This window comes from Homo sapiens, chromosome 19 (assembly GCF_000001405.40).
Source record: "Homo sapiens chromosome 19, GRCh38.p14 Primary Assembly".
NCBI lineage: Eukaryota > Metazoa > Chordata > Mammalia > Primates > Hominidae > Homo > Homo sapiens.
The window spans coordinates 29,825,548-29,852,377 of record NC_000019.10 but is presented as its reverse complement, the minus strand read 5'-3'; the positions used below and the strand labels follow the sequence as shown (position 1 = coordinate 29,852,377).

Here is a 26,830-nt window from a genome sequence, read left to right as displayed (position 1 = left end):
CTATTCTCAGCAGAGAACTAGAAACTATGAGAAACAAGACTTGTTGCTCTCTGATGTGGAAATCCACTGGTTACAGTTGAGACATCTACACTTGTAGGCATCAGCTGAGAAAGCCATGCTTCCACCTGAGTCGCAGTTACCAGACCACACTAGCCCCTGTTCATCCTGCTCTTGCAGAGTAAGAGGCCCCATCAAGTGTGCAAGTCCTCCCTTGAGAAACATCCTCCCCATCTCTTGGGCACAGGAAAATGTGACTGATACCCAAACCCCAGGGTCAAATCTGTGTGGAAAATCTGAAAGAATGTATCAAAAATAAAATAAATAGAAGTGACTAGAAACTGAAATTTTAAAATCAATACCATTTAAAATGACACTTGAAGAATGAAATATCAGCCAGGCATGAGGGAGTGTGCCCATAGTCTCAGCTACTGGGGAGGCTGAGGTGGGAGGATCACTGAATCCCAGGGCCTCCAGGCTGCAGGGAACCATGGTCACGCCACTGCACTCCACCCTGGGTGACACAGCAACTCTAAAAATAAACAAGTAAATAAATCAATAGTGAAATTCTTAGGGATGAATCTAACAAAATATGTTTATGATTGGTATGCCAAAACATACAAAACATCATTTAAAGAAATGAAGGGCCAGGGGTAGTGGCTCACGCATGTAATCTCAGCACTTTGGGAGACTGAGGCGGGCGGATCACCTGAGGTCAGGAGTTCGAGACCAGCCTGGTCAATATGGCAAAACCTCGTCTCTACTACAAATACAAAAATTAGCCAGGTGTGGTGGCACACACCTATAATCCCAGCTACTCAGGAGGCCAAGGCAGGAGAATTGTGTGAACCCAGGAGGAGGGGGTTGCAGTGAGCACAAATCGTGCCACTGCACTCTAGCCTGGGCAACAGAGTGATACTCCATCTCATAAAAAGAAACAAGGTTAATTAATTAATTAATTAAGGAAGACCTAAATAAGTGGAGATATACATCTATACCATGTTCATGAATTGGAAGACTCAATATTTTTAAAATGTAGCTCTTCCCAAATTGATCTACAGCTTCAGTGCAATCCCAATCTATATCCCAGCAGGCTTTGTTGGTAGCATATGACAAGCTGATGTTAAAATTTAAATGAGAATGCATTACAGCTTCGTTCTGTCAAAAAAAAAAAAAAAAAAAAAAGAGAGAGAGAACATGCAAAAGATTTAAAATGGCTAAAGCTATTTTTTAAAAAGATAGACAAATTTGGAGAACTTTCACTACTTGATTTCAAGATTTATTATAAAGCTATACTAATCAAAGTAGTATGGGGCCGGGCATGGTGGCTCCCACCTGTAATACCAGCACTTTGGGAGGCTGAGGCAGGAGGAACATCTGAGGTCAGGAGTTCAAGACCAGCCTGACCAACATGGTGAAACCCCATCGCTACTAAAAATACAAAATTAGCTGGCCGTGGTGGCGCACGCCTATAGTCCCAGTTACTCGGGAGGCTGAGGCAGGAGAATTGCTTGAACCTGGGAGGCAGAGGTTGCAGTGAGCCGAGACTGCGCCACTGCACTCCAGCCTGGACAACAGAGAGAAACTCCATCTCAAAAAAAAGAAAAAAAAAAAGAGGAGATTTATTATGGGAATTGGCTCATGCAGTTATGGAGGCTGAGAAGTCCCATGACCTGCTATCTGTGAGTTGGAGATCCAGGAAAGACAATGGGGTAATTCAGTCTATGTCCAAAGTCCTGAGAACCCAGGAAGCCAATGGTGTAACTCTCACCATTGCACTGAAGCTATAGATCAATTTGGGAAGAACTGACATTTTAACAATACCAAGTCTTCCAATTCATGAACATGGTATAGATGTATATCTCCATTTATTTAGGTCTTCCTTAATTTCTTTCAACAGGCTGGGTGTGGTGGCTCATGCCTGTAATCCCAGCGCTTTGGGAGGCAGTGATGGGCAGATCATCTGAGGTCAAGAGTTCAAGACTAGCCTGGCGAATATGGTGAAACCCCGTCTCTACTAAAAATACAAAAATTAGTTGGGTGCAGTGGCAGGTGCCAGTAATCCCAGCTACTGGGGAGGCTGAGGCAGAAGATCGCTTGAACCCAGGAGGCAGAGGTTGCAGTGAGCTGAGATCGTGCCACTGCACTCCGGCTTGGGTGACAGAGTGAGGCTCCATCTCAAAAAAAAAAAAAAATTCTTTCAACAAAGAGCGTGAAGGCCTGTGAACCAGGAACTCCAATGTCTGATGTCCGGGAACTAAAGATGGATGTCTCAGCTCAAGGAGAGAGAATTCACCCTTCCTCTGCATTTTTGTTCTATCTGGGTCCTCAATAGATTGGATGATGCTTGCCCACATTGGTGAGGGCACACTTCCTTTACTCAGTCTCTTGATTCTAATGCTAGTCTCTTCCAGAAACAATCTCACAGGCATACACAGAAACAGTGTTTCCCCAGCTTTCTGGGCTTCTCCTACCCAGTGAGGTTGACACCTAAAATTAACCATCACACCCTTCCTACCCCACCTCTCATTCCAGAGCTGAGCAACATCCAAAATGGTACCGGCTCAAAGCACAACCTCACCTCAAAGCCAGGTGGGGCTGGGACTTGAACTACCTGGAGCTGATGACTTCATTTGCCACTTGAGCTGACAGTACTCAGTTGCATCCTTTGGTCCTCAGTTTCTTCCTAAAGGCCCCTAGACTGCTGTCCCATGACTGAAAAATGTTTTGTTTTGTTTTTAAAGTCAGGGAATCTCCATTTGTCTATGCTGTTTGACAGAAGAGGAGGGAGGAAGATAAGTGGTTTCAGATATCCTTTCTCCTTTGACTCCTAACACCAATTCTGAGTTAGGCCTTATTATTATTCCCATCTCACTGGGAAGAACACCAAAGTTCACTGTGGCTGGGTTTCCTGCCCAAGTTCTCATCTCTAGAGAGTAGAAAAGGGAATGGAATATATGTAAACTCCAAAGTCCAAGCTGTGCCCTCTAAATCCTTTCTGCCTTGACAGAGGAGCAGGATCTGGAATTCTCCAGTTTCTGCCTCCTTATCTGACCTCTGCTTCCTTATAGGCATAGTGAAAATATGCCTAACCCTTCTTAGACACCCTGCGGGCGTCTTCCAACTTTCTTTCTACCTAAATTCAAAGGCATTTATTGGGGGCAAGGCAGGAGGATCAGTGACAAAGGCTCAGAAATCTACAAAACGCTCCAAGGCAGATGCAAATGTCATCTCTGGTCTCACTTCTGAGAAGCTGGAACAAAGTCATTTTGTATTTTGCTCTCAGCTGTCTTTCACCAAGTTCCCCAAACTCCTTCCCAGAGGCCAAGCGCTAGGGAATCCCTGCCCTCTGTAAAAATACTTGTCATTGTCTTCATGTACCAAGTTCTACCTGTCCAGGTCCCTCTGGGGGATACCTACGTCATAAGCAACGCTGTGGACCTCTGATGAAGTCTCTTTAGGTACATAACCAAGAGTGAAACTGTGCGGAACGTACAGGGCTGGGCCTAGGGCAAGGCAATGCGGCACCTAAGGTATAAAATTTAAGAACAGACCCGGTGCGGTGGCTCAAGCCTGCTATCCCAGCACTTTGGGAGGCTGAGGCAGGAGAATCACCTGAGGTCAGGAGTTCTAGACCAGCCTGGCCAACATGGTGAAACCCGGTCTCTACTAAAAATACAAAAATTAGCTCGGTGTGATGCACGCCTGTAATCCCAGCTACTCCGGAGGCTAAAGCATGAGAATCACTTGAACCCTGGAGGCAGAGGTTGCAGTGAACCGAGATCACACCACTGCAATCCAGGCTGGGTGACAGAGCAAGACTCTGTCTCAAAAACAAACAAAAAAACTAAGAAAGCCCTCACTTTCAGGGCTTTATAAGGGGTGGGGTCGACCCTGACAGTAAGTGCTTCCTTACGTGTGTGCCCAAGCACCTCCCTTCCTCTCCCTGGTCCTAGCTCTGCAAAAGTATACACGTATTTAATTTCACTGTAACTGGCCACACACTCACTCACAAGTGCATGGGACTCCCTCTCTCATCCATCCACGCCAGCACTTCACATCATCTGGCTTGCTGAGTTGTATCAGCTCGTGGGGCAATGTGACATCTCATTCCTTCCCCTTGCCTTCTTCTGACTGCCAGTGAGAATGAGCCTCTCTGGATACCTCAGTCATTCTGATTTTTCTTTCTGTGAACGGCATATATATATCTGGCCCATTATCATTACTATTATTATTATTATTTTGAGACAGGGTCTCACCATGTCACCCAGGCTGGAGTGCATTGGCGCCATCTCAGCTTATTGCAACCTCCGCCTCCTGGGTTCAAGCGATTCTTGTGCCTCAGCCTCCAGAGCAGCTGGGATTACAGGTGCACACCACCACACCCCCGGTTCATTTTTTTTTTTTTTTTTTTTTTTGTATTTTTAGTAGAGACAGGGTTTCATCATGTTGACCAGGCTGGTCTCGAACTCCTGACCTCAAATGATCTGCCCGCCTTGGCCTCCCAAAGTGCTGGGATTACAGGCATGAGCCACCGCACCCGGCTGCCCATTATTTTTTAAATTCGGTTTCCTATCTCTTTCTCTTTTGTGCTGATTTTCAGAAGCTCCTTGTGTATTCTAGTTATAGCCTTTTGTTCATTTAAAACATGGATAATATCTTCTAGCTTATCACTCATATGTTAATTTTGTCTGTAGCAAAGCAACATTTTTTCATTTTGGTGTAGTCAAAATCCATCACGTCTCACCTTTCAGCTTATGATTTGGAGGTCATGAGAAATCCCTTCCTATCACAGAAATATTATATGTTACCATATATAACTGAGTTTATGCTGTACTCTCCAAACTATTCCACTTACCTGTTTTTCTGTACCAATATCACCTTATTTTAATTACTATGCCTTTGTAATCCGTTTTAATGCCTGTTGAATAAGAGTTCCCTTTGTCCTCTTTCAAGATTGTCTTAGCAGATCATGGATTTTTATTCTTCCTTAAAAGTTAAGAATCAAGTTTCTCAAGTTCCAAAATAATTGGGCTGGAATTTTTACTGAAATTGCAATGCATAGTTAGATCATGTAACAGAAAATTTACATTCCTTCAAGGTTAAGACATTATCTCACTATTTATGTATTCAAGCCTTTTTAAACAAAATCTATATATTAGAATTTCAGGTTTTTCTCCTTAAAGATTCTGTGCATTTTTTTATTAGGTTAATGCATAAATATTTCAGTATCATGCAGAATACCTTATTTTTATTACTCACAATACGTGTATTATTTTTGGGGAGGAACCCATTACTGACTTTATATTCTGACCTTTATTATTATTATTATTGAGACAGAGTTTCACTCTGTAGCCCAGGCTGGAGTGCAGTGGTGTGATCTCGGCTCACTGCAACTCTGCATCCCACGTTCAAGCGATTCTCTTGCCTCAGCCTCCCCAGTAGCCAGGATTACAGGCACACGCCACCATGCCCGAATATTTTTTGTATTTTTAGTAGAGATAGGGTTTCACCACGTTGGCCAGGCTGGTTTCGAACTCCTGACCTCAAGTGGTCCGCCCTCCTTGGCCTCCCAAAGTGCTGGGATTACAGGTGTGAGCCACCGCACCCAGCCTCTGATCTTTAATAGAAGAGGGTTGGCCGGGCGCGGTGGCTCACGCGTGTAATCCCAGCACTATGGGAGGCCGAGGTGGGCGGATCACGAGGTCAGGATATCGACACCATCCTGGCTAACATGGTGAAACCCCGCCTCTACTAAAAATACAAAAAATTAGCTGGGCATGGTGGCGGGTGCCTGTAGCCCCAGCAACTCGGGAGGCTGAGGCAGGAGAATGGTGTGAACCCGGGAGGCAGAGCTTGCAGTGAGCTGAGATTGTGCCACTGCACTCCAGCCTGCGTGACAGAGCAAGACTCCGTCTCAAAAAAAAGAAAAAAAAAAAAGAAGAGGGTCTCACTATGTTGCCCAGGCTGGTCTTGAACTCCTGGCCTCATGCAATCCTCCTGCCTCAGCCTCCCACAGTGTTGGGATTACAGGCGTGAGCCTCCACACCTGGCCCTATTCTGACCTTAAACTACCTTTGTGCAACTCTCTCATTAGGTTAATTTTTCTGTTGATTCTTGTTTTCTATGTCGATGATCATCACTTGACAATAACAGTGCTTTCATTTTGCTTCCGATCCTTCTATCACTCACTTTTCTCATCCCATTGCACTGGACAAGACTTGCAAGTACCAGGTTGAACAGTGGCAAGGCCAGACAGAGGGCACCCTTGTTTTTTTTTTTTTGAGTTGTAAAAAGATGGAGAGCTTTGGCTTTCAGCCTACTGCTTAAAGAAGAAAAATGCAATCATTAGAAATTAGATCTTGAGAAAGATCCCTGCGACTGCCCGTGAAGGCGAGACTTAAGAGTAGTAAGCCAAGAGGCAGAAAGATCGGTCGCCTACGAGTCCAGGTGAAGCATCATGTGTTTCAGACCAGGGCCGTGGAGACAAGTGTAGCAGAGAATTGTGGGTCGGGTGGGGTGGAGGAAGAACTGATGGGATTCTGGGACAGATCAGAGGGAGGAGAGTGAGGAGTCAAGACGGAAGCGCTATCTGGGGCTTGCCTGCCACTGAGCAGACCGTGATGCCACTCCCTGAGGAGGAGACCCAGGGTGAAACGAGAAGGAAGAAGGACTTCACTGCACACACGTTGACTCAGAAGGGCCGTGGAACACCCGGCCGGCGGGGAATACGGAGCTCAGAGCAGCGGGCTGCGCGGGGGCGTAAAAATGTGGCTGTCAGGGGTCCAAACAGCATCAATGTTCAGAAAGCACGTGGAAAACAGTTTAGCTACTGTTAGAACTATCAGGATCATCCGCATGCAGGTAGGCGTTAAAACCTAGGATGGACGAGATCTGCCAGGGGCAGCCCAGAAGCCAAAGGGGCCGAGACCTAAGCCCCTGGAGGCAGCAGCTAGAGGGGCAGAGACAGCAGGAAGGGGGCCCCGGTGGGTCAAGGAAGGAGTACCAAGGAGGAGTGGCTCTGCCATGGACGCAGAGGAATCTGGGAGTGACGGCGCCTGTCCGCGCTCTATCCCGTTCTGCCTGCCGAGGGCAGGGCCAGCGCAACGCAACCTGCAAACCCGCCTTCGGCTGCTGCGAGGCACTCAGATCTCGCCGCGAAGAAGACGCCACGGCACAGTTGAACTACAGACCCCGTCCACCGCTGTTCCGGCCCCGCCCCTCTCACATTGCGGGCCTCTCAGCGCCCCTACGCACAGCACGGCCCGCCCACCGCCGCCCTGGCCCCACCCACCCCGCCGCAGGCCCCGCGGAGCTCCGACGCACAGCCTGTCCCCGCCCACTGTTGCTCTGGCCCCGCCCCTCTCGCCGGGGGCTTCTCAGAGCACCTACGTACAGCCAGGCCCAGTCCACCAACCGCCCTGGCCCTGCCCCTCCCGCAGTGCGGGCCCCTAAGAGCCCCTGTGCATTGCCAGGCCCCGCCCCTCACCGCCCTGACACCGCCTTTTGCGGTGCGGGCCGCTCAGAACCCCCCCGCAAGGGGCGGCCCCGCCCCTACCTCTCCGGCCCCGCCCCTACCTCTCCGGCCCCGCCCCTACCTCTCCGGCCCCGCCCCTAACTCTTCGGCCCCGCCCCCACCTCTTCGGCCCTGCCCCTCCCGCGGCGCGCGCCCGGAAGTGCTCCCGCGCCCTGGCAGCGCGGACACAGCGGAGTGGCTGGGCCAAGCCCGCCCAGGGAGGCCGTGGCTCGCTCCAGTCTCCCGGGTGGGGCGGGGGGCGTCCGGGCGACGTGAGGCCGCGCTCGGGCCCCCAACCCCCAGCATCCGCCTTGGCCAGGCTGCAGACGCGCGGCGCGGGAGACGCGGGGCGGGGAGACGCGGGGCGGGGCGGGGCGGGGCAGCGCATCACGTGGGTAAACACGGCGCACGTGGAGCGCAGCCTGAGCTCTAGGGCGGGGCGGCAGTCCCAGCCCTTGAGCCCGGGCTGTGCCGGTCCCAGGCCCTGGGGAGCCGGTGAGGCGTGGGCGCAGGCCGGGGTCCGCGTTGGCCCAGCTGAGCCTCAGTTCATTCTGTTAAAACGTTAATAGGCCAGCGCTGTGGGAGGCCAAGGCAGGAGGATCGCTGTTGGCCAGGGGTTCCAGACCAGCCTGAGCAACACAGGAGATCTCATTGGTACAAAAAATAATAAAAAATGTTGCTGGGTGTGATGGTGCCCACCTGTAATCCCAGCTACTTGGGAGGCTGAGGTGGGAGGATCGCTTGAGCTTGGGAGTTCGAAGCTGCAGTGAGCGCTGATCGCACCACTGCACTGCAGCCTGGGTGACAGAGACCTTGTCTCCAAAACAATACGTAAAAAATAAAACCAAACTAGCCACGCAAACACTGACGTTGGCTCAGCCTGCCAGGCCCTGCCCAAGGGAACATGATAACCCTGTCAGGTGGGCACCATCCTATTTCACAGAAGGGGAAAGTGGAGGCCAAGGCGGTTAAGAAACTTGCCCAAAGCACTTGGCTGGAAACCGGTGCAACGCAGGTCCGACCTTTTGCAGCGAGGCCCCTTCGTGCTTTGGCCTCGGCCTGCATGACAGGGGCACTGGCAGTCGGGGACGCTGGGGGTCAGCTCCTGGCGTCCTGCCCCTGCCCCTCAGGGCCGGCCTGGCCTGGTACGCTCGGCGGGGCTGGTTTCCCCGTTTGTGCAATGGAGTAGCAGAGGTGCCGCCTCCAGAGGAGGCTCAGAGGCGGCCCTCCCCAAATCGTGGCGATAGCTTCCGCCGGGCGTGGTGAGAATGGAACTGGCCGGGGCCTCGGGCCCCAAGTCGCTGCTCACCGGACTGCCGCCCCCTCCTCCGGGGCCACCCTGTCTCCTCCCAGAGGTGGGGGATGGGCAGAGCCCCGTGCAGGGAAGGCGTCTAGAGCACGCGTGGGCTCCTTCCAGGAGCTGGAGCTGACTTCTACCCAGGCCGGCCTCCCTCCTCTCCCCTCCTCCTCTTCCTCTCCCTTTTCCTCCTCCTCCTCTGCCCATGCCGCGTGACCAGGAGGCGCCGCATTCAGAGTCGGCCCCAGCCTGGGGCCAGCCAAGCTGTCAGCCCGGACTGGCGGCGGAGGAGGCCTGGGAGGGGCCCCTGGGAGGGGGCAGAAGTGCTCAGAATTCCTAGGAAGCGCTTGTCCCGGCAGAAGAGCTAAGCTGCCGAGCTTCAGCGGGGCAACGCATGCCCTATGCAGGCCTATGTGGCCAGGGCCACCCCAGGGCCAGAAACCCCAAAAGCTGATGACTGGGCCCCAACCCTCAGTTGGATTTTGGGAGTCCTATGAGCTGGTTAATGAGAAGTCCTATCAACCAGCCCCGGGCTTCTCATGCAGTGTCTTGTCACAGGCCCTGAAGCCAGGCCCCATGTGGGACCTTGCGCAAGTTGCGGGACCTTGGGCAAGTTGCAGGACCTCCCTGTTTCTCAGTTTCCTCTTCTCTAAAATGGGGCCAGTGATCATTCCCACCCCATAGGATTGTGAGAAAATGAAATGACTAAACAGGAGTAAAGCCAGGGCGGCAGTTCTTCCCTCAAGGTTAGTTTTATGGATGTTTCCACGGAAGCTCCTTCAAACAGCGTCTTGCCCGGTGCACTCACTGAGACACATCAGAGCAGCGACATAGGCCTGGGTGGGGGCCTGGAAGCTGAGCTCCCCAGCTGGCCCCCTCCCAGTTCACATACCCCCTGGCCAGCCTCAGCATGCCCTTCTCTGATAATGCCTGTTTTCTCCCCTCCACCCCCGGCCCAGGACCAAGAGCCAAACAAGTTTGGCCACACTTGTCCTTTATTCCACTACAAGAGGGCAACTCTACCCCGAATGGGTTTGTGGGTGGCAGACAGAGGCTTTGTGCATGAGAAGCCCAGACCTGGGGCTTTGGCTAGTGAAGACCTTCCTGGTCTCTGTTTTTTTCTCTCCAGGGTCAGGGTCCTGAAGGTTGGACCTTACGGTGTTGGTTTAAGGAAGAGGAAAATGGAAATCCAAACACAGGGAGATCTAAGAGACACCAGAGAGGGAAACTAGGGGCCTTAGGGGTGAGGCAGACCTCAACTGCGAAAAGTCCCCAGGGGGCTGCTCCCACCCCTGAGGCCAGGTGGCAGGCAGGCTTCCCCACACGGTCATGCGGAACCTTCCCCATATCCCGGGCCTGGCACAGAGGCCAGCACGCTGGAATTAGAGACGCTGAGGGGATGAATGACAGTGGCCACACAACTGCAGCAAGAAGAATCCTGCTGTGGGAAGCAGGATTTTTGCAGCTGTTCCAGAGCATGCTCCCATCTCTGCAGTCACCCATGCTTTGGGAGAGTCTTTATTGTTTCTGTACTTGCTGCTTTTGCCAACCCAGCATCCCTTCCCCTTTTCTGCAGAGCCAGGTAGTTCAGATGGACCTATTCCAACTCTGCCCCAGAGACTGACACCTGACACATGCCTGGCTAATCACAGCACTGCATTCCTCTGGCCACAGTGATTAGAGAAGGGATGGGCATGTGACCCAAGCTGGACCAATGAGAAGCATCCCCAGGACTTTTGCTGGAGAGTCTGGGTAGGAGGTACTTGCTGGGAGGAATATCTGCCTGGAGACACTGTTCTCTACTGGCAAATGCCACGTGGAGAACAAAGTCGGCACAGTCAGCTTTCAGAGCTGAGGCAAGGATTCCTGAGGACAGCAATGTAAACACCCTGATCCAGCCATGCCTGAGGCTAGATAGGCCCCTGGGCCATTCGTTTGAATCCATACATTCATACGAATCCATGAATTCCTTGTTTTCTCCTGGCACTTTGAGTTGTCTTTTCCTTGCAGCTGAACATCTTATCTCATCTGACCCTCTAGTAGAGCAAAGACTTTAGCCACCATTTCTGGATGAGCCTTGGTGGCTCCAGGTCAGATGGCTCATCAAAGGTGAAACCTACCTGCGGGTAAGTGGCTCCCGCAATGTCGCCAGCTGCAGGTCCCTGTCTCTGGCCTCTCCCTTGGCCTCCTGCTCTGGCATTCCTGAGCAGTGAGTCTGTGGCCACCCAGCTCACAGATGGCCTTGGCTGTGTGTTCCCTGAGCCTGTGCTCTCTGGGTCTGTCTCATCCATAACCATATCCCTAGGGCCTGGATATCCCCAGAGGTTCTCAGCAAATATGAGTGGAGAGAATTCTGTGGCTGGTCAAGGTTTGGGGGATTCAAAAAAATCAGGAGCACACGCCTGTAAACGCAGCATTTTGGGAGGCCAAGGTGACAGAATTGCTTGAGCCAGGAGTTCAGGATGAGCCTGGGCAAGAAAATCAGTCCTTCTGATGCATCTGATTGGGGAAAAAAAAGCAAAAAATCAGAAACTTCTAGAGCTTCATCTCCCACTCTGCCGCCTGCACTTGGCATGCACTGGCTGGCCCTTAGCGCAGCCGCCCCTCATCCCCCACCTCTGCTGACCACCTTACCTGAGACCTTTCTCCAACGCTGCAACCCCTTCCCTGGGCCAGCTGTCTTATGGATGACAACATGGCTAATCTTGAGTGGGGGATGAATTTTCACACTCTCTCCCCTCTGGGTCTTTCTCTCCCACTCAAAAGGCTCAGGCATCCCAGACACTTCCCTGAACACACTCGGAGGGGCCACGGCCGCTCCCCAGCAGCACGCCAGAAGGGGCGAGTGCGAGCGTACAGGAGGAGAGAGGTTGCTGCTGGAACTCAGACCGCGCGATTCCCGAAATGTGCAGCCAGCACATCTGCCCAGAGAAAAAGGGAGGCCCAGAATTGCAAGCTTTGTTATTTTTACTTTTTGATGCGAGGGGCCATCTGTGCAGGTTGGAGCTTGTCTGGAGGAAGCCAGGATTTGTCAGTGAAATTCAAATGCAGGATTACTTTGCAGGCTGTCACACCGAGACTTTCTCCAGGAGCTGAGGTGGCAGTGCTGATAATTTCTACAGCAGCAGAGTGTGCCAGTTTCCAGCAGCTGTTCGGGGTGAATGTGCATGTGGAGCCTTCCACCAGAGCATCGCTACTCGCCTCGGCAACTTTACTCAGTGTTGGATCCACCAAGGATGCCAGGAGGGGCCTCGACCACCAGCTGTGCAAATCAGCCCCTAGTGTCTGGGAGGAGGTGGTCTGGAGGGCAGAAAGCCCAGTGGGGGTTGAGGAGAAGAAGGAAGAGAAGAAGGTTGGCAGTGCGGGAGATGGGGGTAGGGGGGACTCTGACACCCTCTGTTGTCGCCATTGGTTCGCTCCAAATTATCTCAGTCAACACACAGTTGCAGACTCATCCTGGGTATCTGCCTGTGACCCCCATTTTTAATTGCAGGTCACCCTCGAGCCCCCTGCATGGAAATTCCAGAACTGCCTGAGTTGCAGGTGGAGGTGGCTGAGTTGGGACCCCATTAGGACATTTTTTTTTCTTTGAGACAGAGTCTCACTCTGTCACCCAGGCTGGAGTGCAGTGGCACGATCTCAGCTTACTGCAATTTCCACCTCCCAGATTCAAGCGATTTTCCTGCCTCAGCCTCCCAAGTAGCTGGGACTACAGGCGTGTGCCATCATGCCCAGCTAATTTTTGTATTTTTAGTAGACACGGGGTTTCACCATGTTGGCCAGCCTAGTCTCGAACTCCTGGCCTCAAGTGATCCACCCACGTTGGCCTCCCAAAATTCTGAGATTACAGGCGTGAGCCACTGCGCCCAGCCTTATCTAGGTCATTTTCACAAACCAGGGCTACCTGGTGAAGTGGGTCCAGGAAAGGTCATCCCAACCCCATTCTGAAAGCGCCTTTTGGTGAAATCTAGGTGCGGAGGCTGCACAGAGCCCAGACTTTAGCGGCTGTTTGAAGCTCACATGCTAATGACGTTTGTATCCAAATAATAACAAATGTCAGGTGTATGCACCTGTCTCTCTCATTTGTATATTGCCTGAATGCTTTTCTCAGTGCCTCTTTCCTGGGCCAGATGTGCAGCCACCGCCTGTTCTGGGGTGGCACGGAGGAGGAGGAGGAAAGGATACTGAGGTTTAGCACATTTAAGTTTGGAAACTGTTCGATGCCATCCCTGACAGTTCACCCTAGGATCTGGGGGTGGAGAGTGATGACAGAAGCGGGCAAATAATCTGTGAGTCTTTCAGCCGTTGCTGTGTGCCCCACCGTACACATACCCTTTTCTAATGTGTGCCAAACAGTGAAATCTAATGATAATAGATAAGGATTGTAGGAAGAAAGCAATCTAGAACCGATTATTTCTTTTCTTTCTTCAGAAATAACCGTTAGGTGAGGAATGTGATTTGAGGTGCACCAAGAGGGGTCCTCAGTTTCTAAACACTGCCCCCCAGACCCCCAATACACACATACCCTGCCTCTACCTCCACCCAAAGAGAGGACTCAATACTGAGGTCAGAACTCCTCTACGTGGGACTATAGCAAAGAAGAACGCAGGAGAGGGGACGGTGGCTGGGGACACAGCAGATGGGCACTGCCAGGCAGGACTGCTGTGGGCATTGCCAGGGAGAGCCAGGATGCAAAAATGGCAGTGAGGGGGCCCTGGTAAGGGCTTCTAGGGCTTTGCTGATCTCCAGGCTCATGCGAGGGCTGACTAGCTTGGGCAGACAGACCTTTTTTCTTTTTTCCCTCCAACAGAAACAAAAGGATAAAATCATTGGCATCACTGCTGGACATGGTGGCTCACGCCTGTAATCCCTGCACTTTGGGAGGCTGAGGCAGGTGAATCACCTGAGGTCAGGAGTTCGAGACCAGCCTGGCCAACATGGTGAAACCCTGTCTCTACTAACAATACAAAAATTAGCTGGGTGTGGTGGCGGGTGCCTGTAATCCCAGCTACTCAGGAGGCTGAGACATGAGAATCACTTGAACCCGGGAGGTGGAGGTTGCAGTGAGCTGAGATCGTGCCACTGCACTCCAGCCTTGACGACAGACCAAGAACCTGTCTCACAAAAAAAAAAAAAAAAAAAAGGAGAAAGAAAAAAAGAAATCATTGGCATCAATTGGGCTCATTCAACGTAGATTACTGATGTGTTATTGTTTTGAAGATAGAAGAAATATAATTAATAAAAGCCACCCAGCCCGCCTTTTGTGTTTCCGTGAATTCCTTATTGACGTCTGCATCTATCTCAAGCCGCAGATGAGCCATCCTTTTCAGCTGCCCTGGATAGCACGGAGATGAACAGTGTGGAAAAATCACTCCTGGGATCTGTACACTCATCTTCTGCAGCTGCAATTTTTCTTCTGCAGCCTCAGTTTTCTCCATCACAGTGGTGGAATCAGAGAGGGGGTTTCCCGGGAGCACAGTGCAGGGTTCCCTTCAAGGAAGAGCAAAGTCCGCCTCAGTGCTGGAAGCTTTTTTGGGAGGCCTGAGCGCCTTCCCACCTTGGATCTCTCTCTCCAGAGCCACCAGACAACCAGTTACCTTTCAGGCACCAGGCTTTGATGGGTGTGGGGGAACTATTTCCCGGCAGCGGCCCTGGAATCACACCTGCCTCACCTCCGGCCTTGATGTGCCTTAGAGGGACTGAGGGCCAAAGGTCACCTCAGGGATCACCAGGAGGCCTAGGGAATAGAAGTAAGGTGTGGGGTGGAGGCTGCGGGCTTCTCTCTGCCCCTGGCAGCTTCTCGCCCACCTGCTTGCTAGTTTGACTTTGGTCCTGCCCACTGTCTCTCTCACACCCACCCACCCTGACATCTAGAGAAATGAAAGCTCCTTTGCATGACAGGAAGCAGGGGAGTTCCCTGAAGTATGATTGCAAACCTGAAAACATCCCCAAACTAGTCTTCCATCACCACCTGGAAGACAAGAGTTGGAAGAGAAACAGAAAGCAACTTTTTTTTTTGAGACAGAGTCTCACTCTGTCGCCAGGCTAGAGTACAGTGGTGAGATCTCAGCTCACTGCAACCTCTGACTTCCTGGGTTCAAGTGATTCTCCTGCCTCAGCCTCCTGAGTTGCTGGATTATAGGCACGCACCACCATGCCCAGATAATTTTTGTATTTTTAGTAGAGATGGTGTTCATTGGGCAGATGAGGAAATTGAGGCCCATAGTAAGTAAGGGACAAGCTGAAAGCCCCACAGGACCTTGGGGTCAGAGCCGAGACTCCTATAAATCCAGGAATCTCAAACTCAGGTGCCTATGGGAGCCAGGCCCATAAAAGAAGATGTCTTTGGACACCAAGACATCTTTGTATTGAATATTAAACATGCTCAAGTAGTCTGCATTTCTAGAAGAAATGTTCCCTCTCTGCCATTCTTCTTGAAACACTCCACCTTCTTGATCTACACAGTTTTCTCACTTTTGTTTTGTTTTTTAAAGACACGGGGTCTTGCTATGTCACCTAGGCTGGTCTCGAACTCCTGGGCTCTAATGATCCGCCCTCCTCGGCCTACCAAAGTGCTGGGATTACAGATATGAGTCATCATGCCCGGCTAATTTTTAATTTTTTTGTAGAGACAGTGTCTCACTATGTTGTCCAGGCTGGTCTTGAACTCCTGTCCTTAAGTGATCCTCCTGCATCAGCCTCCCAAAGTGCTGGGATTACAGATGTGGGCCACTGCACTCAAAGCTGTTTTCTCACTTTTGATAGTCACAGTTACAAGAAATATTTGTCTACTCCAAGAAGATGTGCAGTGCGTTTGTGAAGGTAAACAGCAATGGAGTCTGAGACCTTAGCGTAGGGTGTGGTAGAGGTGGTGAGGATTCTGGTATATTGCAGACCACATGCCCTGCCTGCAGGGCTGCCCAGAGCTGGGGAGCTGTATCTGAATGTGAACTTTCCAGGTTTTCAATATTGCCTCAAGTGTTTTGAAATGACTCGGCAGCCCCAGCACAACCCACCTGACCTGCAGGCCCCAACGTGCAGCCTCTACATTAGCCCTGAATGCTGGGGCGAATCCCCTACAGCTTAGAAGAGGGATGGAAGATGCAGAACTTCAAAGGCAACCCTTCTGACTGGGTATGGTGGCTCATACCTGTAATCCCAGCACTTTGGGAGGCTGAGGCAGGAGGATCATTTGAGGCCAGGAGTTCAAGACCAGCCTGGGCCACATAGTGAGAGCCCATCTCTACCAAAAAATAAATAAATAAATAATAAGAGATGTAAAAAATAAAATAAATAAAACTTTTTTTTTTTAAGAAGGAGGGAATGCTTCAGACCAAGTAACCATCTTACAGAGCTTGGATGTTCATTACTTGTCTATAACAAGAGATAACTCAGGGGCTTAGCAAGAGGAGCACAGAGAGCTTTCTGGATGGATGACTCAGGCTGTGACTGCTGGAACATACTAACTTTGGATTTTTTTCCTTTTAAAAAAGGGACAGTATCCCAAGGATGGTTCATCACAGTGCTGCCCCAAAGTAGAGGGGATGGATTTGTCTGTGTGTCTAATGGTGCATTGCAGACTGGGCTGTTGGATGCCATGCCCCCGGTAACCCCGCCAGGAACTGGGATTCCGTGGTGTATGGCACCTTTGCTCAAAAAAGGACTAGAACCTGGACAGGGGCTTGATTAATTTCTGTTAATGTCTCGCTTTCTAATCTTATGCAATCTTTTGGTCTTTTGCAAGTAGAAGATAGTCTATAGTCTCCTGGGCATGAAAATGTAAGAAAGTGGCTATAAATGTAAGAATCCATCCATCCGTCCGTTCGTCCATCAATCCATCCGTCTGTCTGTCCGTCCATCCGTGCGTCCGTCCATCCATCCATCCATCCATCCATCCATCCATGGAGCAGGTATTTACTGAGCAGCTATTTTGTGCCAGGAAGGCAATGGAATCAATTGGCAAGTCATCACTGAGAAATAACAACAGAAAAGGAGTGAGTTTGTATGTGCATATGCATTTTAAACTACTTAGTGATGATATAACTGAATGAAACCGCCCTGTAGAAAAACAGCAAATATTTTCATTCACTCATGTGTTAGCGTGTGCATTGAAAAGAATTCTAGAGCAATGTACACTGTTTTAACACTCCAACTCTTAAGAACGGCATCTCTGGGGAATCATCAGTTTCTATGTTGTACGTGTTTGTAGTATTCTGATTTATTATAACAAACAAGCTTTACTTTCATAGCCAGAGAAAAACCAATAAAGTTAAATACTAGCAATTTTAATGGGAAGAGAAGTTGACGATACTGAGTACTGGAGCAAGGGTGGAGAGGCAGGAGCTCTCACACTCCCTGGCGGGAAGCGGAGATTGGTGCAGTTTGAGGAAGTCACTGACCACATCTAGTTAAGGTGCACAGGCACACGCCCTTTGACGTGGCAATCCTACATCTAGGAATGTGCCCTAAAGGAATCCAGGTAAGTGGCACCAATGTGCACAAGATGCCAATTGCAACACTGTTTGTGATGGTGAAAAAATCAGAAACCTACTTGTGGACCAGGGTGGCAGGGAGCATATCTATTGTGGAACATTCACACAGGGGAAAATTCTACCACCATTTCAAAAGAATAAACTCAACCCTACGTGGATCAACATAGGTAAATCTTGAAAATAACACTGAGGCCAGGCACGGTGGCTCACACCTGTAATCCCAGCATTTTGGGAGACTGAGGCAAGCAGATCACCTGAGGTAAAGAGTTCGAGGCCAGCCTGGCCAACATAGCAAAACCCCGTCTCCACTAAAAATACAAAAATTAGCTGGGCATGATGGTGGGCACCTGTAGTCCCAGCTACTCAGGAGGCTGAGGCAGGAGAATCACTTGAACCTGGTAGGTGGAGGTTGCAATGAGCTGAGATTGCGCCACTGCACTCCAGCCTAGGCAACAGGGCGAGACTCTATGTCAAAAAAGAAAAAAAAAAAAAAAAGAAAGAAAGAAAGAAAAGAAAATAACATTGAAAGAAAATAGCAAGTGATATTGTGATATGTAAAGTTTGATTCCACTTATTTTCTTTTTTTCTTTTTTTGTTTTTTTACTATTTCTTTTTCTTCCTTCCACCAAATGTAGGTAATTTTTTAAACACCCAAAGCAGTATTTGCTATAAGTCTATTTATTGCTTCTGGATCCAAAAATAAATGGTAAAAGTCTAAAAATATGTATGGGCATCATATACATCCACCTTGGGGAGTTGTTTCAGCTGAGGAGGAACATGAGGGGATCTTCATCTATGTCTACAATATTGTATTTCCTTTTTTAGTTTTTTTCTTTTGACAAACTGCTGCATACTCAAATGTTGTATTTCTTCTTTAAAACATGATATGAAGCCAAGTAGGCAAATATGGATGATGGATCCACAGCTATTCATTTGTATTGTTCTTTGTACTTTAAAATTTTTGCCAACCTGGTGGCTGTGAAATTATCTCATTGTTTTATTTTGCATTTCCCCGATGACTTGCGGATTGAGTCACCTTCATGTTGATTGTGTATTGCCAGTTCCCATTTTTCGTAATAGCATGAACAATGGAAGGTGAAATAAGGAGTTTTTCTAGAAGGTGGTGAAGGGCGCAGGTGGAGGCCCCCTGCAGGCAAGTGGGCATTCAGGTGTGCAGCCAGGGCAGGCCTCATTGGGGTAGAGACCCCCTGCTTGGGTGAGGCCGGCACAGAGGCAGTGGCAAAGTCTTCCAGGTGGTGAGGTTGCCCAGGGACAAATGTCAAGGGGGCGGCGGTGGCCGGGATGAATCTGCGGGTCCTCCACCTTATGCTGGAGCAGAGAGGAGCTGCCTGGGAGGGATGATGCTTGGTGCGTGGGGGCGGGGGGGAGCTGGCACTGAAGTTTCCAGAGGGAAAGAGGGGTCAGCAGAGCGAAGTGTGGCAGAGGTGCCTTGGGAGAGGAAGGCAGACGCATACTGTGAGATTTGTCCCACAGAGGTCTTAGGTGGCCTTGTTGAGGGCACTGTGTGGTGTGGCGACGCCAACTGGAGAGGGTCCAAGAGGGAGTGACAGTGAGTGTAGATGACACTTTCAAAGGGGCTGCCCAGGAAAAGAAGTGGCGGCTGGGTGCGATGGCTCACACCGTAATCCCAACACTTTGGGAGGCTGAGGCAGGCAGATCACTTGACGTCAGGAGTTCGAGACCAGCCTGACCAACATGATGAAACTCCGTCTCTACTAAAAATACAAAAATTAGCTGGGCGCGGTGGTGTGTGCCTATAGTCCCAGCTACGTGGGGGAGAATGGCTTCAACCTGAGAGGTGGAGGTTGGAGTGAGCTGAGATTATGCCACTGCACTCCAGCCTGGGTGACAGAGTGAGACTCCATCTCAAAAAAAAACAAAAAACAAAAAACAGAAGGAAGACAAGTTGGGAAGTTGGGAGAGGGAGGGGGGTGGAAGCCTGGAGAAGACACAGGGGCGGGCCCAAGGGGAGAGGCTAAGGAGGCTAAGGGCTCGCTTGCACAAGCTCCCAGGCATTCCTGGAGTCCTCACTGCTGTGCCCTGGGCTGCGCAAGGCACACAGGGCAGCCGGTAAGTCCCCACCTCAGTGCCCTACCAGGGCTGTCTGTAGGGCTAGAACACGTCCCCAGTGCTAAACTCAGCCGGGCACAGTGGCTCACGCCTGTAGCCACAGCATTTTGGGTGGCCAAGGCGGGAGGACCACTGGAGGCCAGGAGTTCAAGGCGTGCCTGGGCCACATAGTGAGATTCCCCCATCTCTACAAAAAAAACTTAAAACTAGTAGGGCATGGTGGTGTGCACCTGTAGTCCCAGCTACTCTGGAAGCTGAGGCGGGAGGATCTCTTGGGTCTAGGAGGTCGAGGCTGCAGTGAGCTATGATTGTGCCACGGCACTCCAACCTGATGACAGAGCAAGACCCTCTCTCTTAAAAAAGAAAATGCTTGGCCAGGCATGGTGGCTTATGCCTGTAATCCCATCACTTTGGGAGGCTGAGGTGGGCGGATCACCTAAGGTCAGGAGTTCGAGCCCAGCCTGGCCAACATGGCGAAACCCCGTTCTCTATTAAAAATACAAAAATTGCCCGGCGCGGTGGCTCACGCCTGTAATCCCAGCACTTTGGGAGGCTGAGGCGGGTGGATCACGAGGTCAGGAGATCGAGACCATCCTGGCTAACACAGTGAAACCCTGTCTCTGCTAAAAATACAAAAAATTAGCCGGGCGTGGTGGCGGGCGCCTGTAGTCCCAGCTACTCGGGAGGCTGAGGCAGGAGAATCGCTGGAACCCGTGAGGCAGAGGTTGCAGTAAGCCGAGATCATGCCGCTGCACTCCAGCCTGGGAGACAGAGCGAGACTCCGTCCCAAAAAAAGAAAAAGAAAAAGAAAAGAGAATGCTCAATCCTTCACAGAACAGCCTAGCTCAGTGACAGTGAACCCAGTGGTGGCAATAAGAGGGATCAGCTGTCATTTGCTGTTTCTCTTTAATGTGCCAAGCGCTGTGCTCAACATATCTATGCGTGACCTCATTTCATCTCCCCTCGGTTCCATGGGGGAAGCACTATGTTGTCATCCTCAGGTCACAGCTGGGAAACACGAAGCTTGGAGAAATGAAGCACAGAGCCCAAGACCACTCTGGGAAGTGGCAGAGCCGGCTTCCCACATGAGTCAACTGCCTCCAGAACCCAGTGAAGAAATGACATCAGTGTGGGCCAACGTCAGGGGTGCACTCCTGCAGGAGGTGGGGTCCAGCCACTGTAGGCAGAGGCCTGGGCAGGGGCACAGGAGCAGAATCACGGGGGCCTGGGGAGATATGCAGGCAGCGCCATTTAGAAATGATGGTGATGCAGCTGATTTTACGAATGTCCTCATTGCCTGCCTGCTTGTCCTCCACACACTACACACTCATTTTCATTTTCTTTTTTGATTTTTTGTTTGTTTGTTTTGAGATAGGGTCTCGTTCTGTTGCACAGGCTGGAGTACAGTGGTGTGATCATGCCTCACTGCAGCCTCAAACCCCTGGGCTCAAGCGATACTTCCCATCTCAGCCTCCCAATAGCTGGGATTACAGGTGCACACCACCACGCCCGACTTGCACAGTCATTTTCTTACGGCACAAAGACACATAACTCTGTACTTGTTCATCAACCTCTTCCTCCAAACCGGCTCTGAGCAAGTCACTCCTGTCTTACAAACACCGGCTTCCTGCTGCGGGGGAGACCACACCCATCTTAGTTGACGGCAAAAGCCCCTTGTGATGTGGCCTTCCTCTACCCTATTTGTGAGGGCTTTTGTGACTGCTGGAGAGCATTCCACAGCCCCACCTCCCGAGCTTGAGTCCTGCTGCTGCTCTGCTCCTAGAGTGCCACCTTTTCATTTCATACCAGTGCCCTCCGGGGACTCCAGGGCTTCCCCGGTCTCCCAGGCTCCCTTGAGTTCATGTCTCCAGGACTGGCAGTGTACACTTAGCAGGGACTCCATCGAGGGCACCTCACTCACCAACCCCAAGGAAGCCAGCATTTGACTTGAACCGCACTGCATAATCAGATACCACACAACTTTTGGAATTGGCATTGATCAGGAAAATGATTTAAAAGGTGGGGGATGCTGTTTATTGAATAAAGGATAGTGTTGCCCTCCCATGTGAGGCTCCCAGGAAAGAGTACCTGGTAAGCCTATGCAACTGAGTACATTAGAGTCTTCTGAAGTTAAATTTGGAATTGGGACGAGGTAGGAAAAAATCTGTGCTCATTGGATACAGACTGCAATTGTCTGTCGGTGCAGGAACTGAAGTATCTGCAGCAAATTATATTTAAGACTCTATTGTCGCAGGCGGATTAGCTAATGCTTGATTTTAAGTATAGGCTTCTAATGCTATTACTCCTGGTTAACTCTACCTGGCAGGTAAACTTGTGGAACAAATGACTGCATTGCTTGAATAACATATTTGATCAAACAGGACAATTCTTTCAAAAATTGAGTTCTCTGTGGCAATTTGAGACCTGTAATCAGCAAATTAGATGATTACAGCAGGGATAAAAATAGTCTTCTAACAATGTCCAAGGTATAAATGTGATTTGAATTTCAAAATGTGGAACATGTGGTAGGAAAATGCACGGTTGGGTAAATATGACTAGACATTATCAGATTTGATTTCTCTCTCTAGCCCTGCTCAGAGCTAGAGCCTAATTTTGCCCAAATAAACTCCAATCTCGTTTGTGTCTGAGTTAGAGGATGGACACGTATTGGGTGCCATGCTCTGAATCTTAAAGGGCTCCATGGCTCTACCTGCCTTAGAAACTAAAAGTCAGTGTGAACCTCTGCATCATGTATTTATCACATGGTACCAAATAACCATCATGAAAGAGTAAGCTGTCCGTGTTCCACACAGGGAAGACGGCATTGGAAAACCCTTGACTCCCACCACCTGAGGACCAGGGTTTTTTTGTTGTTGTTGTCGTCAGGCACAGTGGGCAGAGAAATGACAACAACTCTGGCGGACTCTAGCAAGTGAATTCTTTTTTGGGAGACAGGGTCTCACTCTGACGCTTAGGCTGGAGTGCAGTGGCACAGTCATGGCTCACTGCAGCCTCGGCCTCCCAGGCTCAGGTGATTCTCCCATCTCAGCCTCCTGGGTAGCTGGTACTACAGGCATGCGCCACCACAAAAAAATTTAAATTTTTAAATTTTTTGTAGAGATGGAGTTTTGCCATATTGCCCAGGCCGGTCTTGAACTCCTGAGCTCAGGCAATCTGCCCACCTTGGCCTCCCAAAGTGCTGGGACTAGAGGCATAAGCCACTGTGCCTGGCCGCAAGTGAATTCTGTGAGCTGAGGCGGGATATGAGGATATGGTCTGCTCAACCACAGTTCAGGGTCTCCAGGGTTGGTGAATCACTCGCTTTTTCTCCATCTCTAACCCGAGAGTTAGATCAGGGGCCACATCACCTCCTTTCTCTGGTCCTTCTTGCTAACACATCTCCTCAGGACATCTGTTCACCCAAGTTGACTGAGCTGCCATTTTCACCCCAGTGTCTCTTGTGGCCTCATCTGGCTTTAGCTGAATAGCAGAACATAAGCGACTTGGTCAAGGGGTATTTGCAGCCAATGAGAGAGAGGCCAAAGCAGGGATTACTAGCAAGTGGAAAAAGCTCCTCTTACAGGGGAATTTTGATTTCTACTTACTAGCAGCTCTTAGGGTTCCTGAGTATAGACATGATTGATTAATATGGATGTCATTTACCCATTCAGGACTTAGCCTTTATTAGCACCAATAATTAAGAGCTGCCTGTGACAACACTGCCACTTAAAAAGCTTTGACTTCCAGAAACACAGCATTCCAACAAGTTACATATAAGGCATTCTTATTTCAGCATATTCTAGCACCCTCTCTAATACGGTGGGTGGCTAAATGACCTATGAATTAATATTTACCTCAAATGTGTTTGTTTTTTTTTAGGTGTCACCCAGGCTGGAGTGCAGTGGCATGATCTCAGCTCACCACAACGTCTGCCTACTGGGTTCAAGCGATTCTCCTGCCTCAGCCTCCTGAGTAGCTGGGACTGCAGGCGCCCAGCACGACACCTGGCTAATTTTTTGTACTTTAGTAGAAATGAGGTTTCACCATGTTGGCCAAGCTGGTCTTGATCTCCTGACTTCAAGTGATCCTCCCACCTCGAATCTCCCTAAATGCTGGGATTACAGGCCTCAGCCATTGTGCCTAGCCTCAAACGTACTTTCAAATTTGCTGTTACCTCAATGTGTCAAGCTCTCAAATTTATGAAACTTTGGAAATAGAAATTTTTTAGTGCCATCTTTTTGCTTACAAAATGCCAAATGTAGGCCGGGCACACTGGCTCACACCTGTAATCCCAGCACTTTGGGAGGCCAAGGCAGGTGGATCACCTGAGGTCAGGAGTTCGAGACCAGCCTGGCCAACATGGTGAAACCCCCTCTCTACTAAAACTACAAAAATCAGCAGGGCGTGGTGGTGGGTGCCTGTAGTCTCAGCTACTCGGGAGGCTAAGGCAGGAGAATCGCTTGAACCTGGGAGGCGGAGGTTGCAGTGAGCCGAGATCATGCCACTGCACTCCAGCCTGGGTGACAGAGTGAGACTCCATCTCCAAAAAAAAAAAAAAAAAAGAAAATGCTAAATGTAGGCCGGGCAAGGTGGCTTACGCCTGTAATCCCAGCACTCTGGGAGGCTGAGGTAGGTGGATTACCCAAGGTCTGGAGTTCGAGACCAGCCTGGCCAACATGGTGAAACCCCGTCTCTACTAAAAATACAAAAAAAAATTAGCCGGGCATGGGCAGGTGCCTGTAATCCCAGCTTCTCAGGAGGCTGAGGCAGGATAATCACTTGAACCTGGGAAGCAAAGGTTGCAGATAAGGCTTGTCTCAAGCTCCTGGCTTTAAGTGATCTGCCCAACTCAGCCTCCCAAAGTGTGGGGATTACAGGTGTGAGCCACCACGCCCAGCCAAAAACTCACTGCTTTTTAAGACTAGAACATCTCTGCCTAAAGTGAAGAAATAACTGGCTAGTCCTATCATTTGACTAAATACCATTACATGTAGATTTACAATGCGTTTATTAGGATAACTGTAGTATTAAAACTTGCCAGAGGGCCGGGTGCGGTGGCTCACACCTGTAATCCCAGCACTTTGGGAGGCTGAGGCGGGCGGATCACAAGGTCAGGAGTTCGAGACCAGCCTGGCCAACATGGTGAAACCCCGTCTTTACTAAAAATACAAAAATTAGCCGGGTGTGGTGGTACGCGCCTGTAGTCCCAGCTACTCAGGAGGCTGAGGCAGGAGAATTGCTTGAACCCAGGAGGCAGAAGTTACAGTGAGCTGAGATCGCGCCATTGCCCTCCAACCTGGGTGACAAAGTGAGACTCCATCTCAAAAAAATAAAATAAAATAAAAATAAATAAATAAATAAATAAAACTTGCCAGAAAAGCCGGCGCAATTGCTCATGCCTGTAATCCCATCACTTTGGGAGGCCGAGGAGGGAGGATCACCTGAGGTCAGGAGTTCGAGACCAGCCTGGCCAACATGGAGAAACCCCGTCTCTACTAAAAATACAAAATCAGCTGGGTGTGGTGGCGCCTGCCTGTAGTCCCACCTACTCAGGAGGCTGAGGCTGGAGAATGCCTTGAACTTGGTAGGTGGAGGTTGCAGTGAGCCGAGATTGTGCCACTGCACTTCAGCCTGGCAACAGAGCGAGACTCCGTCTCAAAAAAAAAAAAAAAAAAAAAAATCTGCCAGAACTACATCAATGTCAAAAGTAAAGTCTCTCCAACTTCATACAAATATGGTTACAGATTTTATTTTATTCTTTTTGAGATGGAATCTTGCTCTGTCGCCCAGACTGTACTGCCATGGTGCCATCTTGGCTCACTGCGTATGGTTACGAATTTCAAATGGCTGCTTTTTTCTTTAGATTTTTGCCAAATGAGATAAAATACCAAGTTGAAAATAAGCAGTATTTATTTGTTCATTCACCCTTCCTTGTATGCACTAGCACACGTGATGAAGCACTGTTAGTCAAACACAAGACTCCAAAAGACCACCATTTGAAGAATGTTCAGTAAAAAGTCATGTGAGTGGCCGGATGCGGTGGCTCACGCCTGCAATCCCAGCACTTTGGGAGGCCGAGGCAGGCAGATCACCTGAGGTCAGGAGTTCAAGACCAGCCTGGCCAACATGATGAAACCCCATCTCTACTAAAAATACAAAAATCAGCCGGGTGTGGTGGCGGGCACCTGTAATCTCAGCTACTTGGGAGACTTAGGTGGGAGAATCTTGAACAGGGGGAAGGTGGAGGTTGCGGTGAGCCAAGATTGTGCCACTGCACTCCAGCCTAGGTGACAGAGCGAGACTCCCTCTCAAAAAAAAAAAAAAAAAAAAAAAAAATCATGTGAGCGGCCAGACGTGGTGGCTCACGCCTGTAATCCCAACACTTTGGGAGGCTGAGGTGGGCAGATCACGAGGTCAGGAGTTCGAGACCAGCCTGGCCAACATGGTGAACCGCCGTCTCTACTAAAAGTACAAAAACAAAGGTCACATGAGCTGTACACGAGGCCTGTAAGTGGGCAGCAATGATTAGCAAGGCACTTGGTGACTCCATCAGTGCTCAGCGAACAGGCTGCATCATGCGCTCAGCTGACATATGACTCTACTTCGCATTTTTTTTTTTTTTTTTGAGATGGAGTTTTGCTCTTGTTGCCCAGACTGGAGTGCAATGATGCGATCTCAGCTCACCGCAACCTCCGCCTCCCAGATTCAAGCGATTCTCCTGCCTCAGCCTCACGAGTAGCTAGGATTATAAGCATGTGCCACCACACCTGGCTAATTTTTTTTTTTTTTTTTGTATTTTTAGTAGAAATGGGGTTTCTCCATGTTGGTCAGGCTTGTTTTGTACTCCCAACCTCAGGTGATCCGCCCACCTCGGCCTCCCAAAGTGCTGGGATTACAGGCGTGAGCCACTGCGCCCTGACTTTTTTTTTTTTTTTTTTTTTTTATGAGATAGAGTCTCACTCCGTCACCCAGGCTGGAGTGCAGTGGCACGATCTCGGCTCACTGCAACTGCTGCCTCCTGGTTCAAGTGATTCTCCTGCCTCAGCCACCCCACTAGCTGGGATTACAGATGTGTGCCACCACGCCTGGCTAATTTTCTTTTCTTTTCTTTTTTTTTGAGATGGAGTTTTGCTCTTGTTGCCCAGGCTGGAGTGCAGTGGTGCAATCTCGGCTCACTGCAACCTCTGCCTCCCGGGTTCAAGGGATTCTCCTGCCTCAGCCTCCCGAGTAGCTGGGATTATAAACATGTGCCACTACACCCAGCTAATTTTGTATTTTTAGTAGAGATGGGGTTTTTCCATGTTGGTCAGGCTGGTCTTGAATTCCCAACCTCAGGTGATCTGCCTGCCTTGGGTCCCAAAGTGCTGGGATTACAGGCGTGAACCACCATGCCCAGCCTTAATTTTTGCATTTTTACTACAGATGGGGTTTCACCAT

General features: G+C 49.9%; 3 annotated features.

Moving 5' to 3' along the window:
• Nucleotides 7,209-7,978: a silencer, noted in NCBI's record as "silent region_10469". NCBI's record gives its function as "represses an Ori minimal core promoter by ATAC-STARR-seq in GM12878 lymphoblastoid cells {active_cell/tissue: GM12878}" and the evidence as "EXISTENCE:reporter gene assay evidence [ECO:0000049][PMID:35858748]".
• Nucleotides 8,009-8,168: a silencer, noted in NCBI's record as "silent region_10468". NCBI's record gives its function as "represses an Ori minimal core promoter by ATAC-STARR-seq in GM12878 lymphoblastoid cells {active_cell/tissue: GM12878}" and the evidence as "EXISTENCE:reporter gene assay evidence [ECO:0000049][PMID:35858748]".
• Nucleotides 14,652-14,931: an enhancer, noted in NCBI's record as "active region_14421". NCBI's record gives its function as "activates an Ori minimal core promoter by ATAC-STARR-seq in GM12878 lymphoblastoid cells {active_cell/tissue: GM12878}" and the evidence as "EXISTENCE:reporter gene assay evidence [ECO:0000049][PMID:35858748]".